At 37.3% G+C, this 9,540-nt stretch overlaps 1 protein-coding gene, 1 long non-coding RNA gene and 1 pseudogene across 3 annotated transcripts; 2 read left to right on the top strand and 1 right to left on the bottom strand.

Moving 5' to 3' along the window:
* On the top strand, positions 1 to 619 carry OR8B7P (olfactory receptor family 8 subfamily B member 7 pseudogene; annotated as a pseudogene).
* On the bottom strand, positions 2,184 to 9,348 carry LOC112268069 (uncharacterized). 2 transcript variants are annotated; one of them, XR_002957213.2, is made up of 3 exons: positions 9,310 to 9,348; positions 7,002 to 7,082; positions 2,184 to 2,584 (listed from the first exon to the last, which is right to left on the bottom strand). It is a non-coding gene; the product is annotated as an uncharacterized LOC112268069 (long non-coding RNA). The 2 variants fall into 2 exon arrangements; XR_002957214.1 differs by lacking the exon at positions 2,184 to 2,584 and adding an exon at positions 6,486 to 6,576.
* OR8D2 (olfactory receptor family 8 subfamily D member 2) lies at positions 5,211 to 6,146 on the top strand. The gene has a single exon (NM_001002918.1). It carries the CDS (start codon positions 5,211 to 5,213, stop codon positions 6,144 to 6,146), a length of 936 nt encoding a protein of 311 aa, NP_001002918.1.
* Positions 9,349 to 9,540: the final 192 nt, after the last annotated feature.

Here is a 9,540-nt window from a genome sequence, read left to right as displayed (position 1 = left end):
ATGGCCATCTGTAACCCGCTTCTGTATAACATTGCCATGTCCCCTAAAGTGTGTTCCAGCCATATGCTTGGTTCCTACTTCTGGCCCTTTTCTGGGGCCATGGCCCATACCAGGTGCATGCTGAAACTGACCTCCTGTGAGGCAAACACCATCAACCACTACTTCTGTGACACCCTTCATCTGCTCCAGCTCTCTTGCACCAGCACCTACGTCAGTGAGTTGATGGTTTTCATTGCAGCAGGCATCATTTTCACTGTGCCCAGTATCACCATCTTTATCTCTTATTTTTTTACCTCTCCATTATCCTATCAGCTTCACTGAGGGCTGGTCAAAATTTTTCAGCACCTGCAGTTTCCACAAAATTGCCATTTCTCTGTTCTTTGGATTAGGTGCATCATTGTGTCTTAAATTATCCTCAACTGGGACTATAAATGAAGGTAAAATATCTTCTGTCTTTCACATTGATGTAGTTCCCATGATAAACTCCTCAATTTACAGCTTAAGAAACAATGATGTTAAACTTGCCTGGAGAAAAATCCTAAGTTGGAGAAAATTTCCATTTGAAACTATCTCTCTCCATGCATATAGTTACAGGACAAGGAGATTCTGTGGGTTTAATTAAAATATTTTCAGTGGCAACTTTCTTATCTTGTTTCTTTCTTAAGAAAGAAAGACATTGCTCTGCAGGGACATGGATGAAGCTGGAAGCCATCATTCTCAGCAAACTAACACAGGAACAGAAAAGCAAATACCACATGTTCTCACTTATAAGTGCGGGTTGAACAATGAGAACACATGAACACAGGGAGGGGAACATCACATACCGGGGCCTCTCAGGGGTGGGGGACAAGAGGAGGGAGAGCATTAGGACAAATGCCTAATGTATGTGGGGCTTAAAACCTAGATGACGGGTTGATAGGTGCAGCAAACCACCATGATACATGTATACCTATGTAACAAACCTGCACGTTCAGCACATGTAACCCAGAACTTAAAGTAAACAAAAAAAGAAAAAGAAAGAAAGACATTGGAGTATTCTCTTGATAATTTATTTGTACTTTTTATAGAGTAGATCTTCCTATTTTCTTAATCATTGTATAATTTATTTTTCTCACTTTTTTCTTGTTGAGTAATAACTTTGAGGAAGAAGTTTATTATACCTGTTTCTTTATTCATTGCCATTTTGAACTTCATTTTGTTTTCTACTGGAAAAAATGAATAGCCTGACAATAAATGAACCAAGTAACAATAGAACAACATTGTTGTATTGGGATGGTTTTTTGCCACTTGCTGTTGGAAACATGAATTAGACAATCTATTTTAACTCTCATCTTTACATCCTCTACTGAGAAAATGGATGTTTCCTTTAAATGCCAGAGATTGAAAGTTTCATAAAGACTATCAATTATAACCCACTTTGCATCTATAAACACTGTTCATTATGCTTCCTTTGGCAAAGAGTTTTCTTATTTACCTTTGTGCCTTCAAAGTAGCATATAACAGATGTTCAATATGTGTTTATTGCATGGTCAGGAAAGGGAGGCTCAGAGTGGTTATTGATTTACTTATAGTCACCCAGCTTCTTAATGAAAAAACTTAGAATAAGCTATTAGCCTTCTGATTTTAAATTGACTACTCTTTCTAGTTTACTTTGCTTCTACTTCATTCTATTATTTTATTTCAGCAAGTACAATATATAAAAAAATTGCTATTTTGAATGTTGACTGCTTAGTTCTGAAATGAAACATGACTTTTTCTCAGGTAGGGTATTGTTTTTCCATTTATCTTGTGTGTATGTTTAGGAAAATCATTTGAAGGTTCTTTTTGTTGGGAAAGAGGAGGCCTGTTGAGCTGGTATAGTTGAAAGGTGAGTGGGTTAAACAGAGGGGAGACTTTTCAGCCAAATTTTTTAAAAAGGAGAATTTTGAATGTGTAAGTACTAGTAATTTAGAGAGTAGGGGCGTGGGAGAGGAAGGAGTCAGCAAAATGTCATTAAGTTAATACCCAAGAAGACACATGGCCAATAAATGCAAGGTCCCTCTGTGGGAAATGGTCAAAGAAGTTTTAGAAACTGCATTTTATTCCGAATTTGTATGCCATTCTGTAAAGTACTGTAATTATTCTGCATTATCCATTAAGCTTTGATTAAACACATAATCCACAGTGAATGTACATTAGTTTTGTCAAAAGATAAAATTATAACACATTTGATTTAAAGCTCTAATTGGCTTTTATTTGCCATTCTAGAATGGGGCAACACCTCATTCTGTAAAATAGAAGTAGGGGTATGGGAAAGAAAGGAGCCAGCAAAATGTCATCAAGTCAAGACTCAAAAAGACACATAACCAACCATTGATAATTGGTAGGCACCAATATGATTAGCCCAGTGTGTCAGAGATTGTTGCTGTTCACTGTTCTTCCAGAACACACATTTCCCAGTGTCTCCTGCAGTGCCGTGTGGCATGTGACTATTTTAGAGATGATGGATGCTATTCCAGGGCTACATTGTTCCCTTTTAACTTTCTCTTTGCCCTTTTCTGGGCTAGATGCAGATAACCAATGAAGCCACACTTAGGTGATGAAGCTATAACGAAAACCAGAGAGTGATTGCAATAGAATCAGGATAGAGAATGGAAGGATGGATGGAGCTACAATAAAAAGGGGGCACATAGAGGGCTCTGGGGTGCTGGTGATATTCTATTTATAGATCTGCATGGTGGTTAAAGCTGCTCATTTTATAGTAGGTGGAAGTATATATATTTTCTACATTTTTATATATGTATTTAAGCTAAATTTCACAATACAATAAGGTTATAAAACTTTGATTACAGCTATACTCAAGTGAACAGTAAACTAATCCATGAACAAGATTGAGAATAAGGCCTCAGTATGTGGGAACAACTTCCTAGTACAGATGGCTCACAGAAAGGAGAATCGGCAGAGGTAGGGTAACACTTTTAAAAAACTTAGAGTAATTCAGATCATAGCAAGGAAGAGATGATTGTCTTTACCACACCAGATGATAAATGTAGTCATTACTCTTGATGTCTGTGGGAGAAGAAAGTATAAATACAATCTCATGGTATAAATTTGTAGAGGGAGAGCATCAGGACAAACAGCTAATGCATTTGGGGCTTAAAACCTAATGCATTTGGGGTGCAGCAAACCACCATGGCACATGCATACCTATGTAGCAAACCTGCACGTTCTGCACATGTACACCAGAATTTAAAGTAAAAAAAGTAGTATGTTATATATCATTATGCTTAGCTTAATGAGTAATAAAGAGGGTAAAGTTCTCATTCCATAGCACGTAATTTTAAATTCTTAACCTTTCTACTTTATTGAGATAGTCTTTTCTAAAAGAAATACTCTAGGCATTATTTGTGATAGTTCTGTGATGAAAATAATTTGGGAATATATCAATATAGAAATGTTACGGATATAGGAAAGAATGTGCTTCAATCACTAGACCTATTATTAAGCAGCCTCCCTTGGGTGGCAATGCGGCTGTTAGGCAGGATTCATATCCAACACAGGGTCCATGCATGCACATCAGCCAATAGTAAGGGAGGGTTCCACAAGCCTGGCATGGGAACTAGGCAGGGAAGAGAAGGGGACTTAAGGCAGAAGCAGGAACCTGGACAAAGGAAAAGGCAGAGGCTCACGACAGAGGTGGGAACTTCAAGAAAGTGTCGGACATCATCTCAAAAACCCAGTGCAGAACTCTCAAGCTGCTGCTGGCTCACTCCCCTTCAGCAGCCAGCTCTGTCTCACCTTTCCAGAGTGTACTGTCTCTCTCTAAATAAGCTCTCTGCTATTTTTCTTCAACAAATTCTCTTTTTGGCTAATTCAGTCATTTGGTAGAATATTTTTCCAAGTAAGGCTAAAAATCTAGAATTCCTGAACTTCCCGTAACAGGGCTTGTTAGAGTTGCATTCTGGTAACTCTGATTCTCTTTCTCTTAGAGTATTCTCTAATTCCCCTAATTCAGAAACATGGCTGTCTTCTCAAGTGCTCTTGGAGATAACACCCCACCTGTCAGCTTTTAAATCGATATACATATTGAGTACCCTTAAAACACTGTAGAAGCAAATTTTTATAAATTTTTGTTTGTGATCATAAAAATATGTTTTTATGCAAAATAAAAGCAAACAACATCTCACTCTATGTATGGAGTTTTTCCTCCCTTGACATTTTTTCTCACTTTGGAAAAAAATTATGAAACCTGATGTCTTAGGTAATATACAGTGTTTCAGCTGAAAGCAACACACCCTGAATCCTTTGCTTAAACTTTAGGGGAAACGAAGTCAGGGAATAAGAAATCTCCAGTTCAGATCTCACAGCTTTGAAAGAGAAAGGTCAGTGAGAGTTTGGCCATGAATAATGGATAGCAGGAAAGGGCCAAGGAGGGAAGCGCTGAGTTGCTGATGGTTCAGGTCTTACACCTGAAAGTCAGCCTTACTTCTTTGCTTCTTTGCTGTTTCTGGAACAGGAAAGATCTAAACTAGAATCTCAGGATAGCCCTTGGCACAACATTTCTGTCAACCACATCCACACTGAGTACAAGAATCTCCTGGCCCACTCAAGTTTTCCATTCAAAGAACAGAAGTGAGCTAATGAGGGTCAGAATTGATTAGAACCATTTCCATACTTTTTTTTTTTGTACTAAGGTCTCTTTATAGACGTCTTTTATGTTTCTTATTTCCTAGTTTTAGCAAATGCTAATTATGTTGATTCATGTTGATGGGTAAGGAAACTGAAATGGACTACTTTTATATCATCAGAGCTGGATTAGAAGCCATGTTGTAACAAAGTCTGAAGGTTCTATTGGCATATGCTCAGATAAAGAAGGTAAGCAGTGTTGTTTTAATGGTAGCAATGACAAACTAATTAGATTTGGAAAGTTTGTGCTTCCTCCAGCAGTGAGGTAATTATGGGCATAAGCCTGGAAACAAAATGGGAGGACTCTTACTAAAAGAGGAGCATTCAACAGGGTTTTGGGTGAAATCAAGGTTCTTGGTTATACTCATAATATTTGCCCTTGATCTTGTAAGAGGTCCCTGAAAAGAGGCAATCATGGGACAGATGAGGCTCTCAGGAATGGAAGCAACCAACATGGGGCATGTCATTCTGCTTTGGGAATCAGAAAATAAATCTAATGTCTCTCTTTTCTCTTATTTCTTATTACACATAATACCTTAAAAGACATGGCTACTTCAAACCATTCTTCAGGGGCTGAGTTTATCCTGGCAGGCTTGACACAACGCCCAGAACTTCAACTGCCACTCTTCCTCCTGTTCCTTGGAATATATGTGGTCACAGTGGTGGGGAACCTGGGCATGATCTTCTTAATTGCTCTCAGTTCTCAACTTTACCCTCCAGTGTATTATTTTCTCAGTCATTTGTCTTTCATTGATCTCTGCTACTCCTCTGTCATTACCCCTAAGATGCTGGTGAACTTTGTTCCAGAGGAGAACATTATCTCCTTTCTGGAATGCATTACTCAACTTTATTTCTTCCTTATTTTTGTAATTGCAGAAGGCTACCTTCTGACAGCCATGGAATATGACCGTTATGTTGCTATCTGTCGCCCACTGCTTTACAATATTGTCATGTCCCACAGGGTCTGTTCCATAATGATGGCTGTGGTATACTCACTGGGTTTTCTGTGGGCCACAGTCCATACTACCCGCATGTCAGTGTTGTCATTCTGTAGGTCTCATACGGTCAGTCATTATTTTTGTGATATTCTCCCCTTATTGACTCTGTCTTGCTCCAGCACCCACATCAATGAGATTCTGCTGTTCATTATTGGAGGAGTTAATACCTTAGCAACTACACTGGCGGTCCTTATCTCTTATGCTTTCATTTTCTCTAGTATCCTTGGTATTCATTCCACTGAGGGGCAATCCAAAGCCTTTGGCACTTGTAGCTCCCATCTCTTGGCTGTGGGCATCTTTTTTGGGTCTATAACATTCATGTATTTCAAGCCCCCTTCCAGCACTACTATGGAAAAAGAGAAGGTGTCTTCTGTGTTCTACATCACAATAATCCCCATGCTGAATCCTCTAATCTATAGCCTGAGGAACAAGGATGTGAAAAATGCACTGAAGAAGATGACTAGGGGAAGGCAGTCATCCTGACAAAGAGGGTTCTCATTGGCAGCCAGAAAAAATAAACCATATAAAAAGTTGTTATAGGATCTTTGTAAGTTTCTGTCTCTCTCGGAGAGAGAAAAATTATCATCACTTAAAAATGTATATTTTATATTAGAGAATGATTAAGACATTTTTGGAGATTATGAAACAAAATTTTCTGATGGTCAATATAATCTTCGAAAATGTATTAGAGAAATGGGAGATGACAGAAGAGGAAGGGCAAATAAACATTAAAAACAATTTATTGAACATATTACTTTTGAAAGCCCAGGCTGGTCTTGAACTTCTGGCCTCAAGTAATCCTCCAAACTTGGCCTCCCAATGTGCTGGAATTAGAAGCCTGAGTCACGATCCTCAGCCTTGAAATAGTTGATTTAATGGATGACAGAGCATGATTCACAAAGACTTTTAAAGGCTGGAGTGATAGTCGCATTTAATGAGATTTTAAAAATGTACATGGGTAATATAAGATTCTATACTTCTATAAAAATGGAGAGAGTGGGAAAAACTTTATTTAACTCCAGAGAATTAAGGATTTTTGACAATATAAGTAAAAAGCATAACTACCTAGAAAGTTACTGTTACCTTGTCTGCATTAGCTACATTTTAGTATTTAGAATGAGGAACATTCTAGTTATCACTTGCACAACAGCAATTAGACTGTGTCCACTTGAAAGTAATTTACTTTGTTGATATTACTATTTAAGAGGCCACTGGCATTCTGAAATATATTCTGAGACGCATGGCCATGATGAAGCAACTTGAAATCACACATTCATTGATTTGTTTATTCTTTGGGTCATTCATTTAAGGAATACTCATTGAATGCCCACTACATACCTGTCACTATTCCTCATACTGGTGATAAAGAGATGAACAAAAGTCACAAACTCCTTGCCTTCATTAGATTTAGGTTTTAGCCTGAAAGAAAGGCAATAAACAGGGAGAAAAATACATCATAGAATCTCAGATCATAAAATGTCTTAGAAAATAAAGCCAAGAGGATAGAAATTGCTCACAGATATTAGAGGATAATTAAGTTACACATAGGAGTTACACACAGAAGGGCTGTAGGCTAGTTATTGAGGTTTTAGTAGTTCTTGCCACAGAGCACAAGTAGGCTAAAGAAGACTCTTCCAAAAATCAGAACTATCAAAAAATAATTAGCTATCTTGGGAATTTATGAACTATCCAGCAGTAGGGATTTAAGTACATATTCCAGACAGAATATTCAACCATTCTGTCTGGAATATTTCTGAGAAGAATCAAATGCTGGCTAAGAATATGACCAAACTGATCCCTTTGTTCATTGCTAACACTGAGGTTTTATGATCCATTCATTTCATCACCTTCTGATACTTTCTATTCCATCTCTTTTTATCCTTTCCACTATCTGAACATGCCTACTCCCCCTTTCCTATAATCTCTTTTATTCCCTTTCTCTTTTTCTTCCACTTTACAAGTTCCCATAAATCAGAACTAATTGTTTGGAAGTCCTAACTAGAGCAATCAGACAAGAGAAAGAAAGGGCATCCAAATTAGAAAGGAAGAAGTCAAGTTATCGTTGCTTGCAGATGACATGATCTTATGTTTAGAAAAGCCTAAAGATGCCACCAAAAAAAACTATTAGAACTGATTTGGAAAAGTTCAAATTCAATTTGAACTTTTTTTCTGGACTTTTTGAACTTTTCAGAGAAGTTCAAATTGTTCAGAAAAGTTTAAATTCATTTTGTACTACTGAACAAACTCAGTAAAGTTGCAAGATATAAAGTTGACATACAAAATCAGTAGCATTTCTACATGCCAACAGTGAGCAATCTGAAAAAGAAATTTAAGAAGTAATCCTATTTACAATACCTACAACTCAAATAAAATACCTAGAAATTAACCAAAGAAGTGAAATATCTCTACAATGAAAATTATAAAACATCGATGAAAGAAAGAGAACACACACACACACACACACACACACACACACACACACACACAAATAAAAAGTTATTCCAAGTTCACGGACTGGAAAAATCAATATTGTTAAAATGTTCATACTACCCATTGCACTCAATCTACCAATTCAGTGCAATCCCTATCAAAATATCACTGGCATTTTTTCACAGAAATGAAACAACAATCCTAAAATGTATGTGGAACCACAAAAGATATAGAATAGCCAAAGCTATCCTGAGCAGAACAAAACTAGAGGAACCACATTACCTCCCAAACTGGAGGAATCAAATTATACAACAAGCTATAGTAATCAAAAGAGCATGGTACTTGTATAAAAGCAGACACAAAGACCAATGGAACAGAATAGAGAACTCAGAAACAAATCCATACATATTCTCATTTTTGACAAAAGAGCCAACATACATTGGGGAAAGGATTGTCTGTTCAATACTTGATGCTGGAAAACTGAATATCCATACGCAAAAGAATGAAACTTGACCCCTGTCTCTCACCATATACAAAAATAAAATCAAAATGGACTAAAGACTTAAATACAAGACCTTAAACTATGAAACTACTAAAAGAAAACATTGGGGAAATTCTCAGAACATTGGAGTGGGCAAATAGTTCTTGAGGGATACTCCATAAGCACAGACAACCAAAGCAAAAATGGACAAACGGGATTACATCATATTAAAAAGCTTCTGCACAGCAAAGGAAACAATCAACAAAAGTGAAGAGATAACCCACAGAATGGAAGAAAATATTTGCCAAATATCCAACTGAAAAGGGATTAATAAGCAGAATATATAAGGAGCTTAAATGACTCTATGGGAAAAATCTAATGATCTGATTTTAAAAAGAGCAAAACATTTGAAATAAATTTCTCAAGAGAAGACATAAGAATGACAACATGTATATGAAAAGGTGCTCAACATCACCGATCATCAGAAAAATGCAAATCAAAACTACAATGAAATATCATCTCGCTCCAGTTAAAATGGCTTTTTTTTTTTTTTTTTTTTTTTTGAGATGGAATCTCTCTGTCACAGGCTGGAGTGCAGTGGCATGATCTCCCTCACTGCAACCTGCGCCTCCCGGGTTCAAGCGATCCTTCTGCCTCAGCCTCCTGAATAGCTGGGGTTACAGGTGCTTGCCACCACGCCTAATTTTTGTATTTTTAGTAGAGATGGGGTCTTACCATATTAGTCAGGCTGGTCTCAAACTCCTGACCTTAGGTGATCTGCCTGCCTTGGCCTCCCAAAGTGCTGGGATTACAGATGTGAGCCACCATGTCCAGCCTCAAACTGCATTTTGTAATATATATTACTTTATGACTTCCCTGTGAGGCAAATGAGGAATATTTTACAGATGAGAAAATTAAAGTTTGACAAGGTTAAATTGCCTTTTCCACAGATAGTAACTATAAAAC

Source organism: Homo sapiens, chromosome 11 (genome assembly GCF_000001405.40).
Source record: "Homo sapiens chromosome 11, GRCh38.p14 Primary Assembly".
Classification (NCBI taxonomy): domain Eukaryota; kingdom Metazoa; phylum Chordata; class Mammalia; order Primates; family Hominidae; genus Homo; species Homo sapiens.
This window is presented reverse-complemented; position numbering and strand designations above follow the sequence as displayed.